This window comes from Homo sapiens, chromosome 18, assembly GCF_000001405.40.
Source record: "Homo sapiens chromosome 18, GRCh38.p14 Primary Assembly".
NCBI classification, from domain to species: domain Eukaryota; kingdom Metazoa; phylum Chordata; class Mammalia; order Primates; family Hominidae; genus Homo; species Homo sapiens.
Window position 1 is genome coordinate 2,043,906 of NC_000018.10, and position 17,556 is coordinate 2,061,461.

At 39.2% G+C, this 17,556-nt stretch overlaps 2 long non-coding RNA genes across 2 annotated transcripts in view; one reads left to right on the forward strand and one right to left on the reverse strand.

Moving 5' to 3' along the window:
- LOC105371957 (uncharacterized) overlaps positions 1–5,601 on the forward strand; it is a 29,740-nt gene extending 24,139 nt beyond the window's left edge. The window contains exon 4 of the long non-coding RNA XR_935089.3: positions 5,082–5,601. This is a non-coding gene — a long non-coding RNA (uncharacterized LOC105371957). The remainder of the gene's footprint in view (positions 1–5,081) is intronic.
- Positions 1–17,556, reverse strand: part of LOC105371956 (uncharacterized) — a 92,178-nt gene that overhangs the window by 9,706 nt on the left and 64,916 nt on the right. The window lies entirely within an intron of this gene.

The window sequence follows — 17,556 nt, forward strand, 5'->3', positions numbered from 1 at the left end:
TAAACTCTGCACAATCCAAACAGGATGGGTACCGTGGAAGACACAAATATGAATCAGGTGTGATCTAAAGAAGCTTACAGGAGAGACAGGAAGGGTAAAAATATAAACCACCTTTTTAAAAGGCAAATAGACAACCGTTCGGTCAAAGGACATGCAATAAGTAGTCTTACCCTGCTGAATTGGTTGACTGGGCCAACTGGTGAATGGAAGATTTTATTTCCCTTTTTGGCCAGCTCTGCCCTGCCTGGTGAGAGGCAAGCCAAGTCCAGGCCTGGAAACAGCCAGGAGGCCTGTGTTCAAAGAAGGGACCACGCAGGTGAAGGAGATCTGGGAAGCTGAACACAAGCCCCACTGAACAAACATCTCACAAAACCAGAAACCAAAGAGAAGGGTTGTTATCAGAAAACAGATTCAAAAGAATTGGTTCTCACTGGACGCAGTGACTAAAGCCTGTATTCCCAGCACTTTGGGAGGCTGAGGTGGGCGGATCATGAGGTCAAGAGTTCAAGATCAGCTTGGCCGACATGGTGAAACCCCAGCTCTACTAAAAATACAAAAAAAATTAGCTGAGTGTGTTGGTGTGCACCTGTAATCCCAGCTACTTAGAAGGCCAAGGAGAATCGCTTGAACCCGGGAGGTGGAGGTTGCAGTGAGCCGAGATCATGCCACTGCACTCCAGCCTGTGCAACAGATCGAGACTCCGTCTCAAAAAAAAAAAAAAAAGAACTGCTTCTGGGGGATCCTGAAACAAATCCTAAGACAAAAGAGTCTCTTAAGTAAGACTAATGAGCCTATGGTTCTTAAGTAGGTGCTCTTAACATACAAGGATTTTTGGATAAACTCAAGATGTCTGTAGCAAAGAAATTCTCCAAATTAGCTAAAAACAACTGACTTTGAGCAACTTGCTTGTACTATTACTGTTCAGTGTGTCCCATTGCATGACAGGACTTACTCACTGACACAATGAGTGGTCTGACAAAAACTCTAAAATACATCCCTATCCACTCATATCTTGAATGTTACTAGAGGATGAATGGGCAATGTACTACTTAGAAAAGCCCAATGTTCAAATATACTCATAAGATTTGGGCTTGCAATTAGTGAGCCATCTTTGGGAGAAAGTTCCTTTATCTAAATTAAACCCTATTTCCACGTGAATGCATTTAGGTTTGCTTGCCCTCAGTTGTAAGTTTATTCCTGACAATATAGCCCTGGTATTCAGCATAGCTGAAACAGACCAGGTTATGTCAGCTCTCCCTCTATGTCTGCCTTGCCTCCGAGATACAAGGTAGAGGTGGGGAGGAGGGGTGCAAAATATAGACAACTTGATGGAGACTTTCATCTTATATGAAAAGGGAAAGAAAATAGCTGACTTTCTAAAATCAAATATGGTTTATACTTTCCATCCATCAGAGATTAAATTTAGACTTCACAATGAATGCAAAATCCATTGACTACTACATCTTGTCAACTTGAGATGTAAGAAAACGAGAAATGAGCTTCAGACTCCACAAAAACCAAAGCATGGTATGAGATGGAAAAGTAAAGAATGTGAATTCATGTAGAAAGTTTCTTCCGCTCTTGTCTTTGCAAGGAAGAAATACGGAATTTACCACTTACTGAGTCCCAAGTCCCAGATTCTTATTTACATCAGTTGATCCTATCTCCCTTCATACAAATGAGAAACTTTGAAGGCCTTGAAAGTTTAATGTTTTTCTCCTAAATCATAGAACTTATACATTCATAACATGCTGAAACCCTGAGTTATCTAACTCCAACACTTCCACTTTTCATTATCTTGCCAGTTTTGTCCCACTTTCTACTGTTGTGTCTTAATACCTCTCCTAGTTCCTTTATCAAATTACGATTCTTCTATTGTAGTTGCCATAGGTATGCCACATGCCTAGAACAATTCATCGAGGGTAAACAAGTATGCCACATACCTAGAACATTTTGAACCATAAAACTCAGTTCACAAATATGGAGGCCTACATGTACTATAAATTCTTAATTATTTAAGTACTTATTTTTTTTTTTTAGTATAAAGGTGAGCCATTGGCTTTCAAATAAATAGAAGATAAGAATGGGAGAGTTGATCATACTAGGGAGGATGGTCAAATGTTTCAAAATCTATGGTGCTGTGCCAAGTTACTAGGATAAAGGGTGGGCAGTGAGCACACTTAGAGTAATTTGAAAGCTCCTGTATTAATTACATATTACTGTGTAACCCATTACTCCCAAGCATAGCTTAAAACAACATGTATTTATTATAATACAATTTATGTGGATTATGAATCTGGTCACAGCTTAGCTGAGTTCTCTGCATTAGAGTTTCTCACAAGGCCACAGTTAAAGATTCAGCCAGGGCTGCAGTCTTACTTGAAGGCTTGACTGGGGAGGATCTGATTCTCAGATCACCCACATGGCTATTGGCAGGAATCAATTCTTTGAACATTGTTGGATTGAGGGCTCAGTTACTCAGGAGCTGAAGACCTCCCTTAGTTGCTTGCCATATAGGCCTTTCCAGAGAGCATCTCACAACTTGGCAGCTGGCTTCAATCAGAGAGAGAGAGCAGGTGAGAGAGCTAGAGATAGTCTAGTGAGAAAGACAATGCTGGCAGATGGAGGACATCATTTTTTATAACCCAATCATGAAAGCAACATCCTCACACTTTTACCCCATTCTGTTTTTTACAAGCAAGTCCCTAAGTCCAGATTGTACTCAAGGGGAGGAAATTACACAGAAGTGTGGGTCCCAGGAGGCAGTGATTATCGGAAGCCAGTCAGAAGCTGCCTGCCACAACACCCTAGAAGACTGTAACACTTTCCTCTCCGGCCCCCCTCCCTCATGTTAGGTTCCTTTGCTTTCTAAATGGCAGACTGATTTATTGTTGTCTGAAACCTTCACTGAAAACACTTGGGAATGACTTGAAAAGAAAACTCAAATCAGTCAGTCTAGAATTGGTTTATGAAAAAGGCAAAAGGTTTGGGGTTTTTGCTTGTGTCCTTTGTCTTGAGGATGGGAAGTGCTAACAAAAGGTAAGGGAATTTAGCTATTTGTGAAAATATAGTTTTATTTTATTTATCCATATAATTTCATTTCTCTGTTGGTGGAGCTTATTAAGAGCTGGACATGTAATTAAATACACCTGAATCTACCTGGCCTTTAACAAAAATTCATGGTCATTATGTTTACTTTTCATCAGAGACCATAAAGAGCTATTCACTGTTATGGTCAGTTAGACTGTGTGTGTAAATTACCTGAAGACAATATGATTAATAAATAACTTATTTTTTTAAGCCCACTAATTATTTTTGCACTTTGGTTTCCATAGTTACAAATCTTTAGCTGTTCAGAATAAACTCATATACAAGGGAGTCTTTGCACTGGTTTATACATTGGGAGCAATTCCAGATCTGGATGACGATGGGCACCTGGAAAAAAAAAAAGTTTTTCTTCAGGGTTAGCATGCCCTGACTGCTGCCATCGTTCTCAAATCACCTTTCATATGTCAGAAAAATCTCATTAAAAATCTCCATGGAAATGCGTGGCAATTCACATATTAACACAGGAAAAATACTTTTAACAGACACCAGAGTAATGTTTATTTCTACTTGGTGGGGTGGGTAGTGATTCTCTGCCACCACACACAGCTCTTATAAACATACACATTCTTTCTTTCTGAAGGAGAAATTCTCTAAGGCAGTAGTTTTTTAAGTTTTTATATAGTTTGGTTTGCCCCTGAGCTAGACTTCTGTCCTGAGTCCCCTTGCTGAAAACAAAATGAAAAAAGTTCCTCCCTTGATCTCCCTGCCCAGCAGGAGTAGCAGGGGATGCTGGATGTCAGCCCACGGAGGTCTCCTGTTGTGGCTGTGGCCTGGACACCTGGTTCTGGCAAGGCAAGCTTGCCAAGGAGTCTGAAAGCTCAGAAAGCTCCACTGGACTTGTGGAGTGCTTTATCCAGTCCACCGTCTCCATTTCCTGGATTCCCAGGGCCTTTGGAAGCTCCCCTCAGGATACAATGAACACCACGATTCTTGATATTCTATAAATTCCAATTCCAATGTCATCCCAGCTCACAAGACTCTGAAGCCCTCTCAGCCCTCTTCCCTATAGCTCACACAAAGTGCCCGACATGCTAGTTTCTCTTGGTTCCCCAACGCCAAGCCCTTCACCAACTCAGTCTTATACTAGTTGTTCTCTCTGCCTGGACATCTCTTTCTCTTGACCCTTTGACATTTCTTTCCCCAGATCTCAGTTTAACTGGCACTTACTTAAAGAAAAGTTCTCTAACCCACCTGTCACTCCTCATTTTCTACTATAGAAATCTGCTTATTTTATTCATAGCACTGGGCTTATTTTCTTTCTTTATTTGCTTAATCATTTATTTCCAACTTCCCCAGCAGCATGTAAGCTCCATAAGGACAGAAGCACATCCGTCTTGTTCATGACTATACACCCTCAGTGTCTAGCACAGTGCCTGACAGAGAGTCACTCAAAAACTACATATTAAAAATGTTGAGTCATTCTAACATTTAAAGTGATTCTAGCTTGTACTTTTGAAAACTTAATATATTCTGAGTGTGTATGTTTTATATGAAAATTTCAAAGAGAAAGTATTGAGGTTGAATCTGAAAAGAATATATTTATGTAATCATGAAATGTTTTAAAATATATTTTAGAATGTATGCATAGTATTGTCCTGTTTCTTTGTTTAAACTCGCATGAATAGAGCTGCCATTTAGGAGAAGAGTGTAGATAAAAAAGAGACTTACTTGTGTTTAAATGGTATATGTACAAACACCTGTAAATTACAAACCATATTTTCAAGAAGTATGATTATTGCTATGTGAGTGTAATCTGAGGCTGGAATTAGGATGGCATTGCTAGAATTCTTGGTACTCGAGAAAGAATTCTGAGAAGCCAGGTAGTTGCTGTGCAGCATAGGGAGTTAAAAAAATAGAGTTTCACTTTATGGAGAATTCCTGAATACCATTAATTAAATATGATACATATTAATAAAGTAGAAGCAACTTAATGTACTTCTAATGCTTTATTCTTTGTTTCTCCTTTTATCTAGCTCTTCCTGAGAACAAAAAGGATTTATGAAGGAAAAAGCAGCTAATCAAAGAAGTTCTGAGTTTAAATTCTGTTTTGTCCACTTACTAGCCATTTGGCCTTGGGCAAGTCACTTTACTGGACCTCAGTTTCCTTGTATGTGAAAGGTTTTGGTAAAAATCATATTAGTTAAAGAATGTAAAGAGTTTTATAAATTACAAAGTGATTAAAAAAAGTAAAATGTATTGTTGTTTAGGAACAATGAAAAAAAAAGAAACCTTGACATTTTTTCTTCAAGTTCTTGCCTAAAATGTTTATTTGTTTGGCCCTTTTTAGATTTAACAAATTCTATGTGTCTAAATATCAGTGTAGACCCCTTCTTACCCTACTGGATTTATAAGGTACTAAAAGTAGATATGCATCTCTTCTGTCTTGGTTCGCTCTAAAATGGGATGTTTGCAAACCTCTTGGTTTTTCTTTTTTAATATGGATGAAGCTTATATTAATTTTTGGCTTGGTATTAAATTTTGTTTGGAATATTATTAATTGAGAATGTTTTCTGTTTTTGTTTGTTGTTGTTTATTTATTTTTCCAAATTTGACATCATCTCTATCTTTCCTGGAACCTTTATTTTGTTATGGACTTTTGCTGATTGTAGTCTTCATATAATACCGAAAACAAAAGATGGCATATAGGCCTCAATCCTAAGAACTTTCCTTTAAGTTCTCATTTCTACAATGTGTGAAACCTTTTAAAATCACTTTGTTAAGAGATTTTCTGGAAGAAGGGAAGACATGAGAAGACTCAAAATACTTAACAGCCAATCCCTGCCAAGTCTTCATAATGTTCCTCTCTCATACATCACTTTGAAACTACCTGCCTAGTGGTTTGGATTTTTGAAACCCTAAGTCAACATTGCATTGGTCTTCCTGTTGCTACTGTCTTGACTTTTTACTCCTGTTTTGGTGGAGTGGAAGAGTCCATTCTGTCTCTTCAGGACTGCCAGCTTTTACTCCTTTTGGCAAAAGGAAGCTGATCAAGTAATCCAAGCACCAGGAGAACAGCTGCCCTGGCCAGTGATGGCCTCTGACCTAAGGGTCGCAGGTTATAGCCTTGTGAGTAGCCCCTTAAGTGCATTTATGAGGCAGTCCTGCCAAATCGCTATAATACTGACTAATTCTGCCAACTGGAACCCCTCTTGGGAAATCTGAATATAAAACATTCAAAGGGAGCTAACGAACAGCTAGAAGCAGGAAGTCACACAGACAGAAAGCAGTAAGCAGAAACCACAAGCAGAAACAAGGCATGGAAGTGTACAGTGGTAATCTTCAGTAATAGCCTAATTCTTCTGGTCGATGCCATTCTTGAGGCAACAACCTTTAGAATCCTTATTGGGTGTTCAGAGTTGCTGTCAGGCTAGTAAAGCTATGGCTGGACCCCAAATGCTCTTGGGGGCTGCATGTCCACCCCTCTCTTCTTTACTCTCTGCATATCCTTAAAAGAAGACCCTGTTGTGAGAGGTCACTGAGTGTAACTCCTTCTTTGGCAATGGCTAAGAACAAAGCTTACACATCTAAAGAAAGCTACCTGTTACTGTGATCACCTCATACCTTATGCCCTGATCTCAGTAACTGACTTTCTGCCTTGGTGCTTCACCTGGTGCTAGACTCCTAGAGTCTATCTTGTTCTGTCTAGTATTCCCAAGAACTGGATTCTATCTCCTAAATCCTGATATATGGTCAGCTTCTCATTACTTCTGCCAGACTGTTCTACTGCCAGCTGGCTTGCTGGACTCTACCTATTACCTGCTGCCAAGTTCTCTGCATTCTTGTTCCACCCACTTGAAAGCCAGCCTCCCAGATGATGAAGTGTGAGATCATCTGTCAGCGTCTTTTCAGGAGATGACACAGCCTTTGTCCTGTCACTATTGGCTACCTTCTGCATTGTCTGTTGTATCCTGCCATGCTCCATTTCTGACCTGTTCTGGGTTTGACCTAACTGGATAATCAGTGTCCCCCACACTACCTGTCTGTTACATCGCTCACTGAAAATGAGTTTCCTTCCACCTTATGGGAGGTAATTATAATAACTGCCTAACTGGTCTGTCTGACAGATAATTCAGCTATTCTGTACACCATATGAGTCACTTTTTTAGTCTTTAAATGAGACTTTGGAAACATGCCCATATTGGGAAACCATTAACTAAAACGCCTAAGTGTGAACTTCTTATCCAAGTGTTTAAGGTCCTCTCCAATCTGACACTCATCCACCTTACCTTCTGCCCGCTTGACTCCTCTGCCCCAGCTAGAAAAGTCTTGCTAACAACTTTCTAAAATTACCTGACATATTCTTTTTTCTTGCCCTTGAGTATTATGTCCTGCTAAATTACAGTGTCCACTGAGTCCTCTTTAACCACTGGACTCCCACTCAAGTCCTGTGTAATTCATTAACTCAGCCAAAAGACAGTGACTACCACTTGCCAGTCACAATATCAGTTTATAGTTATCCAACAAGATATAGGATATCTTTCTCTCAAAGTGTTTTTAGTCTAAGCAAGAGAGCTGAATGCTAAGCTAAGAAACGGTTGGAGAATATGCATTAGGGAGACCACATAAAGGAGGAAGCTGTAGATTCTCAAGCACCAGGAGAAGCGTAATCAGAGAAAGCTTAAGGATGGGCAGATCCTTGATCTAAATCTTTATTTAATGATAAGTAAATGTTTGAAAGGTTGTAGAGATGGGGACATTGTAGGCAAAAAAGTTAAAGGAGCAACAGTGGAGATGCTAAGATGTGTCTTCCATGTATGCAGAGAGTGGGTGATGGTGCAAAGTGGGGATGTAAAGACAAACACAGATCATTGCCTCTCATAAATACACAAGGCATGGTCAGTCTGGAGAATTAGGAAGACTTCCCAACTCTCTTCTATCTCCCCCTTGTCGCTACAATTCTTGCTTCTTCCTCTGCTTTGATTGTATAGATATCACAAAATTGAAACCTCCCCTCTGTATCACATAAGCTGCTTCTTGATCTCATCCCACCTTTCCAGCCACAATGTTTTTTTAGCATATAACTATTTCTTCTCCCACTTCATCATGTTGGAGGTACCTAACCTTTAAAAGTTGCAACAATAAATTCATTCAACAAATATTTATTTACGGGGGATGCTATGCTTAAAGTGTTTATTTGCAGTGGATGCAGTAGTGCGCCACCTCAGCTCCCTTTAGGACCTACACATGTGTTCCCATAGCTTCCACAAATGTTGGCAGCTGATGGCTCAGAGTTGTGACCTGTCCAGAAATTGAACTGAAAATTCAAAAATTGAAGGAAGTTTCCTTTCTCAATGTTTGCTCCCTTCCCAGGACCAGTTAGCATCTAATAATTGATACCTGAATAGGTAGAAAGGCTGATCCCCCTTTTCTTCAGTGAAGATAGCCTAGCAGTTCCATCTCAGCTCCAAAGCAGTCTACAGAGTCACTTAAGATATCTTTTGCAACTGTGTTGCAGTTACTTTCTCCTTCTCCCCAATCAGGCTTTCCTAATCCCTCATAGGGATTAACCCCAATTAACAAACTTACCACTAAACTTTCTGCATGCCAGTTCCAGAGCCTCAGAGACTATTTCTCAGGGAGTGTAACCTATAACATTATTTAATGAAAACCATGGTTCCAAGAAGAAAAACTACGAAGTGAGTTTTATTTTTTTTTAAGAACTATTAAGCACATTCCATATGCCAGGAGCAGCATTACACCTGGAGAAGATGCAAAGAAGAGGAAATGGCCTGGGTGGTGGCAGTGCCATCTCCCAGTCTGGAGGCAGGAGAGCCTGCCAAGGGGAAAGGCCGGCTAGATCCCCATCCTGCCAAACTCTCTAGGACTAAGTACAAGATTAGATTGCCTTGCTTTACCCAGTCCAGTAATTCATGGGTCCAGAAGGTTAAATCTGAAATCTCTTTTTCTTGATGGCTTTAAAACAAAATTAATTTCCCAGTACCAAAGTGGTGAACATAGTCCTCTTTAGAAATAAGAGAGAAGGCAGCCAGGTGCAGTGGCTCATGCTTGCCAGCACTTTGGGAGGAGGCGGGCAGATCACCTGAGGTCGGGAGTATGAGACCAGCCTGACCAACATGAAGAAACCCCATCTCTACCAAAAATACAAAATTAGCCAGGTGGTGCGTGCCTGTAATCCCAGCTACTTGGGAGGCTAAGGCAGGAGAATCACTTGAACCCAGGAGCTGGAGGTTGTGGTGAGGCAAGATCACACTGTTGCACTCCAGCCTGGGCAGCAAGAGGGAAACTCAGTCTCAAAAAAAAGAAAAAAAAAAAAAAAAAAGAAATGAAAGAGAAGGCTAAATAATGCCTCAAAGTTATTTTCAGGCAAAGACGCAATATTAAAAGTGATGCACAATTTGAAATAGAAGCTATTTTAGTCTTGATCAAGGATGCATTAGGGATTTTAGGAAATTTGCTTGGGTCATTTCATGGTATGAGAACTATTTATTGTAGATTGGCATTGTGTCCCATTTATATTAAACCTATATATTGAATCTATTTTATATACAGCTTTCTAACTAATAAGACTGTTAAATACTGATAATCAATTATAACCTTGCATTGAAGCCACGGATCTGCTACTTAAGAAGAAGGATTACTGAGCAGTGGCCATCAGCACATTTATTCAAAGAGATGATAATAATTTTTTCCCCTGGCAAACAACAAGCCTACTGTATCACCCCAGACTGCTTTTAAATGGATGTGGGTTTGCAACTCCTAAGGATAAAATTAAAACATGTACATTCTCTCATACCAGCATTATTTATCAAAATGACAGTGTGACCATTTTTCTTACAGCTTAAAATGGCACATTGATGATAATTACTTTAATCTATTTTTTAGCACACTATAAGACACTTGAATTGCTGATGTAATTTTGAAGTTAATCTTTATTTATAGTCATAAGTCTCCTGTGGTGTAAGGATTGGTCATTCATAACAAGTCAAATAGAATATCTATTCATGGACTATGCCAACGAGGAGTAGATGCTCAATTTAGAAGGAAGAAGCGGAATAGAAAACAGAACTTGTTAACTTCTTCTCAAACTTTTCATGCAGTTTTCTAGATTAACCTTCCTACAAACAAAGTTCATTTATCTTTTTATTAGAATAGAAGAGCAGATCTCCTGACTGGCATAGAAGAACAGAAACCTATCTGGGTATAGGAAAAGCTCATGCATTTTTTTACCATTAATTCCGCATACATCTTGTATGTATGTTCTATGAGCCAGCAATATGGAAGCTGCTGGAAATAGGACATAAATTTAAAGAATCCTTGGGTATAGATCCCATTTAAGCAGAAACCATGACTGATTTCTTCATTGCTCTATATCAATGATAGAAAAATGGGGACTCCACAATTATTTACAGAGTGAATAAGAAAGACATAGTCTCTAACTTCAACAATTTTATGACCTAATAGAAAAGTTATCACCAAAAAAAATTCATATATTTTCAAAGAATTTAAGATAATTAAAAACAGGAGTGGCTTTTTTAATAGTAAAGCATAGCAGTTATAGATTTCGGATCAGATAAATATGAATGTGAATTTTGGTGCTACCACTTAGTAGCTGTCATACCTGGGCAGGTGTTTGGTATCTAAACCTTGGTTTCATTAGCTATAAAATTAGAATAATCACATTTTTCTGAGTAGTTGTAAAGATTAGACATTATATATATGTATAAAATGTCCATATGTATAAATATATATGATGTCTAGAAAATTTGTTGTTACATAATAGACATTCCATTCATTCATTCATTCATTCATTCAACTGATATTTATGTTGAGCCCCTTCTATAAGTCAGGAACTGGAGATGCAGAAAAAAAAACACACTCTCCTCCGGAATGGAATCTACATTGTGGTACAATTTCTGATAAACTCAGTAGCCCCAAAAGATGGGATCTTTCTCTCTTCGGTGTCACAGAGCCAATACACAAAACCAAAAGGCCAAGGAACGGAGAAGCAAGAGCATGGCTCGCAAATCAACTTCTCAACTACCAAGGGGTAAGGGGGTTAAGACAGAGAATTTCTCTAATGAAGAGGGTGGACAGTAAAAACGAGGGGAGGAATACCTATGTCTTTTCTGGAAATGGCTGGTGGACCTCTCAGAACCAGCATGCCACCTTCCTTTTTGTCCTTTTACAGCTTCTTCTGGTTATTGTCATGGTGATTGTCAACTGTCATGATGCTGGTAGGAGTGTCATTTAGCATGGAAATGAAATTAAAATAAAGCATCAGGTATTTGGGGGGTCCTTCAGTCAGCTGTCTCACTTCTAACCATTCTCAGCTTGTCTAGTTACAAGGGGAACTTCTTACCGAAGGCATGCTGTATTTTAAAGATAAGCAGCATGAGAACAAGGTAGAAATTCAGCTAGGTCACACAAGCTTTACACTGGGCAACAGTACGTTAGTTAAACATGTTTTGAAGAAAGCATTAGAGTAGGGGAGGAGTGTTGTTCAGAGAAGATGGTTGGAGGGGCCTCTCCAAAATGGTGACATTTGAGCAGAGACCTGGATAAAATGATAGAGAGTTACATGGCCACATAGAGAAAGCCCATTCCATTAACGGGAGGAAAAGTGCAAAGGCTCTGAGGCAGGAACATGCCAGGAACATAATAACTGGTGAGCTAGAGTGAGACAGAACAAGAGGGTAGGAAATGAGATCAGAGAGCAGGCTCCAAACCACAGAGAGCTTGCAGGTGATCCAAGGCCTTCGGTTTTTACTCTAAAAGATGGGAAGCCATTGGAGGGATGTGAGAAAAGCAAGGACATGATGTTTTATGTTTTTTAAAAGAATCCCTGGCTGCCTTGTGAAGTCAAACCTTTAGGGAAGCCAGGATAGAAGGAAGAAAACATTGTTGATGTTAATGCCCTTCATCAACAGCTGATTGGTAGTATTTAAATCAAAACTTTTTAGGAAGCTGGCATAAAGCCAAACAAATGATGTTTGGATGGAGCTCAGTGTTTGGCCCCAGTGTTTGGCTAGTTTTGCCTCCGCATATTGGCTGCTCTGCCACGGAAAATGCTACCAGCTGTTTCCCTCTCACTGCCCCAACCCTGGCCAGGTCCTGATCTTTGCTTTGCTTGACCCTGCGCAAATTCTTTTCAGAGACTGAATTCTCAACATTGAAGATATAAAGGGACTTGTATCAGACAATTCCATCCTATGGTGATGTAAACCCAGAAAAATCAGAGACAGGTCTCAGTTAATTTAGAAAGTTTATTTTGCCAAGGTTGAGGATGCACCCGTGACACAGCCTCAGCAAGTCCTGACAACATGTGCCCAAGGTGGTCAGGGCACAGCTTGGTTTTATACGTTTAGGGAGATATGAGACATCAATCAATATATGTAAGAAGTACATTGGTTTGGTCTGGAAAGGCAGGACAACTTGAAGCAAAGGCAAGAAGACTCAAGGCGGGGAGGAAGCTTCCAGGTCACAGATAGGTGAGACACAAAGGGTTACATTCTTTTGAGTTTCTGATCAGCCTCTCCGAAGAAGGCAAATCAGATGTGTGTCTATCTCAATGAGCAGAGAAGTGACTGAATAGAATGGGAGGCAGATTTGCCCTGAGCAGTTTCCAGCTTGAGTTTTCCTTAGTGATTTTGGGGGCCCAAGATATTTTCCTTTCACAGTGAAAATCAAAATGAGTGACTGAGACAAAAGTCTCAGTCAATCAAGGTTTATTTAGCCAGATTTAGGGCATGTCCCAGAAAAAAAAAAAAAAAAAAACGTGAACCACAGAAGAGCCTGGGGCTTTTTCTCAAAGAGGTTTTTAGGAGGTTTAGTATTTCTACATTCCTTAAAGGTGGGAAAGGCACGTAAGAAGAGGGGCAGGTAGGCAGTCAGGCGAAAGGTTTCATACTTGTAAGACTTTAATTTCCTGCCCAGGAAATCTACATTTTACATAAGATAAGGTGAATGTTTGAAGAGAAAAGGGGAGCAGAGGAAGAGTCACTTACAAAGACATCTTTGGGTAGGTGGAGGAACTGATCTCCTCTTATTTTTGTTTTACAGCTGGGAAGATAAGCTTACAATTGACATTATCAGTGTGGGATGAACTTTAGTTTTAGACTTTAGTTTTAGGGGCTAGACTTGGATTTGTAGACCTAAAGCTAAAAGTGGCATGTCCTTGTTTATGGGAGGTCAACAAATAATTTACTTATGAATGAGCTGTGGAGGCAATCATTCATAGATGCCGGAGGCCTTTTACCTTTCCGTGGGGATCCCACTAATACATAATGCCAGCAACAGCTATTCATTTGGAAGAAGGTGTTGTCTGACTCAGCCTCCCAGCTTCCTTTTTGCATAAAGAGTCTGGGGGTCCTGAAATTTTTAGATTTTCCTTTACAGTGGAATAACTTCAGGTATCAGCTTGTCAGATGAATCTGAGGAAAACTCAAGGAATAAAGACAAAATGTGAGTAAAACTTATGGCTTTCCTCCTGGTTAAAACCCCAAGTATAATATGTGTACATAATATTTTATCACTTACTGAGTTGTTTTAATGAGCAAAGGAACCTTCTTTTGCAAGTCGTCACTCAGAAAGTGACATAAGACTCCAGTGTATTTGTTGCTTAATAAACTTATCTTCCAGTTCTCTCATTCTTTCCACCTCCTCTCAAGGTGCGAGCCAGAGTCTCCTCTTCAGGACACTGACTAGTATATTGCTTAAGTGTCCATCTCTCTGCTTGCCTCTGCTTTCCTCTGGCCAATAAATGGGTAACTATTATGGGACAAGAGTCGAGAATATTGGCTTAGAAAATTTTCTTCCACAGCAACTTCAGCCGTTACATCCTCAGAAGAAAGAATTCAACTGAGGGGCATAAAGCAGAGAAAGAGACTGAGGCAAGCTCCAGAGCAGGAATGGAAGTTTATTAAAAAGTCTTTAGAACAGGAAAGAAAGTAAAGAACTCTTGGAAGAGATCCAACTGGGCGCCTGAATGTCAAAAAGAGAAAAGAAGATCCTTTAACCTTGACCCTGGGACATTATAGGCTTGCCCCTTTCCTGTGATTCTTCTTTTCAGGTGGGCTTTCTGTATGCGTGGTGCCCTCCTTACCCTTGGGAATTGAGCACATGCAGTGTGTTTAGGGAGTTATAGGCATGCCCATCTGAGGCTTTCTTCCCTTTTCCAGTGGAGTGTGCCTCTGGAAGATCATTCTTCTCCATTTTTGTCTCTTTACACACATTCCCAGGAAGTTGCTTCTCCCTGGGGCCTGCATTCAATTAATATTGTGATGTTAACAGGTGTGGGCCATCTGGAAATGAACTCTCCCTGGCACTGCCAAATTATCATTTTTAGAGAGGCAAAGCGATAACTGCCAAACCGTCACCTGACATTTCTAATGGCTTGCACATGACTACCTGTAACAAGTCCATACAGCAAAGTGAAAGCAAGTTTACTAAGAAAGTGAAGGAATAAAGAATGGCTACTCCATAGACAGAGCAGGCAGTTCCCAAAAGGGGAGGGACATGCCCACCTTAGGTACAATGCTTGTTTATATCATGGGGAGATGTATTCTATTACAAGGGTTTGTGATAACAGATTAATTTTTCTAATTACTATATTTTGCAAGTTTTTTTTTTTTTTTTTTTAGATGGAGCATCACTCTGTCACCAGGCTGGAGTGCAGTGGCACAATCTCAGCTCACTGCAACCTCTGCCTCCCAGGTTCAAGCAATTCTCCTGCCTCAGCCTCCTGAGTAGCTGAGACTACAGGTGTGCACCACCATGCCCATCTAATTTTTGTATTTTCAGTAGAGATGGGGTTTCACCATGTTGGCCAGGATGGTCTCCATCTCTTGACCTTGTGATCCTCCCGCCTCTGCCTCCCAAAGTGCTGGGATTACAGGCATGTGCCACCACGCCTGGCTATATTTTTATCTTTAAAGCAAAATTAGGAATGCTTTTGTCCTCAAGATATTGGGATATCAGGATATTCCTGAGTCTGGGTCTGTTTAGTAAATGTTATCAATCTGTTCCCTTAACTGTAAATATCTAGAGGTTAGGAACATCTAACTTCTGGGAAATGCAGCCCAGCAATTCCCAGCCTCATTTTACCCAGCCCCTAGTCAAGATGGAGTTGCTCTGGTTCAAACACCTCTGACTCAAGGACCTCTGCCTTCATTGACGATTTTGTCTCTTCATTTTTGCTGTAACAATCCTACTCTGACACAATGGAAACCTAATATCTAACAGAAAGAATAATGAGGTGAAAAAAGAATTTGCACAAGAAAAAAGAAACAAGTAATTTATTATTTCAAATAATAATCCAGAAAACTCTACTATTTCCATTTTATAGGTGAGAACACTGAGCCCTAAAAAGGTTAAAAAACTTGCTTACATTACATAGTTCATTGACAGCAGATTTAGTACTCAAATTGATATCTAACTTCCTCAAATTCATGTTGTTAGTTACCACATGACCAGTATCGTCCCCATTGTTATGCACGAGAAACCTAAACCTGGAGGGATTAAGTGATTTATTCAAGATCACATCATTAACATACTGCAGAGCCAGAAAGAGAACCCAGATTTTCCACATCTTACCAGTTGTATTTCCATATCGCCCATCCATTTTCTGTCTTGAATTTCCCATTCATCCACAGAAAGTAGTAGTCTTGAAGTTGTGCCGTGGAATTAATGGAGTTAATATTCCCAGTTAGAGGAAAAATTTCATTATTTAACACTATTATAAAATAAAAATGGTATTTCCACAGTAATCATCCGTATTTACTTATGATTTTATCCTATCATTTTCAAAACAACTTTCAGGGCAACACATATTAATAATACAATAACAATGATGACTATATGATAATCTCAAATAATGCCACATGTAAAATTGAATATTAATGAATATTTCTATGACTTTGACAACAGAAAAAAACGACGTTTTTGGCGTACAAAATGCCCTAATCATTGCTCTGATATTATGAAAAAGCTAGCATACCTCCCAACGTGCCTTCTAGTTTTTTAGAAATGATTCTCTCCACAGCTGGGTCTGACCTCCAGAGCTGCTGGAGAAGATCTATTGTAGATTCTTTGTCTGAAAATAATTAAGCTCAGGAGAGTAAACAAGGAAAAGAGATATTTTTCTTGGTAGATACAAACATTAACATTTGACCCATGGTAACAAAGTAATAGTGACAGCTTAACTATTGAAAGAGAATCTTTTATATTTGCAGTTTATAAATATTTGCTGCTTACTTCCCTCCCCTATTCAATATTCTCTGTTTTATGTTTTGTAAACAACCCAGAAATCTCCACAGCAACAGTCATAGTATCAAAACCACATTATAGCTTTGAGTTTGGAAATGTGTAGGGTGAAATCTCAAATTTTCTTGGCTGTAGTGTAATACGAAAAGGAAAGATTTTTCCAGGGACTTTGTATGGTCAATATTACATAAGCATAGTCACAGCTCAAAACCATGTATTAAATCTTGTTCTAATAAGCCACTATTAACAGTACATTTAAAGAATATTTTAACTTATAATTTTTATGAAAATAAAACTTAAATCAGCCAAATGTGCAATCCCACAAACTAGATTGAACAACTTGTTCTGGGGCTGTCATTTCATTTTTACTGTCTACATCTCACTCTTACAATCTTATAATGTCCTCTTTGAGTGTACTTTTGTCTAATTACATAAAAATCTATAACACTACCAAATTATTTTCAAGAATATCAGTAAATAAGTTACTGTTTTGTCTCTATCATCTCATAGGACATCGGAGTGGTACCTACGACAAATGGTCATAGAGGAACGCCTCTCCCAAAGAGCTCCGGAAGAAAAGAGCCCAGTGGTAAACAACCCATATACTCTGCAAAAATAAGTAAACAAAACGTTTGATAATGCATTGAAATCATCTTTTTAAATGATTTCCTGAGAGAGCAAGAAGTCAAAGAATGCACAGAAGCTGAAAACAAGAGAAAAAGAAGACACTTGGAAGATAATAAAGGCCTAAAGCCAACTTTTCCCTAGGAAGCATCTGCTCAATCATGATAATCTCCAGTTTCTGTTTTCATGGAAGTGCAGAACATAGGAAATAGGTAATAAAATCAAGGACTACCCAAAATGAAAGATTTCACAGATCTCTTCATAAAATTGATGAAAATCCTGGAGGGTGAAATCAACCAAACAGAAGGATCAGCAAGTAAGCTAAATTCTCTAAGGTTCCCTGACTAGTAAACACAATTTGGCTTTTATAATCTATATTTTCAACCTGCATTCCTTCTACATATATGGTCAACAAAGATTTTTAAGTGATATCAAATTGGAAATACAATCAGGTGACTGATAGAAGCCAACAGAATTCCTCTCCAGAGAACGCAGTCATATCCAGGCCTCAAAGAATTATCACAGCTGAAGTTCCAAGAAACATGAGTTCATGATAGAAAATCATGAAATATGTGAGCATATAGGGTGAAATTAATGAGAGTC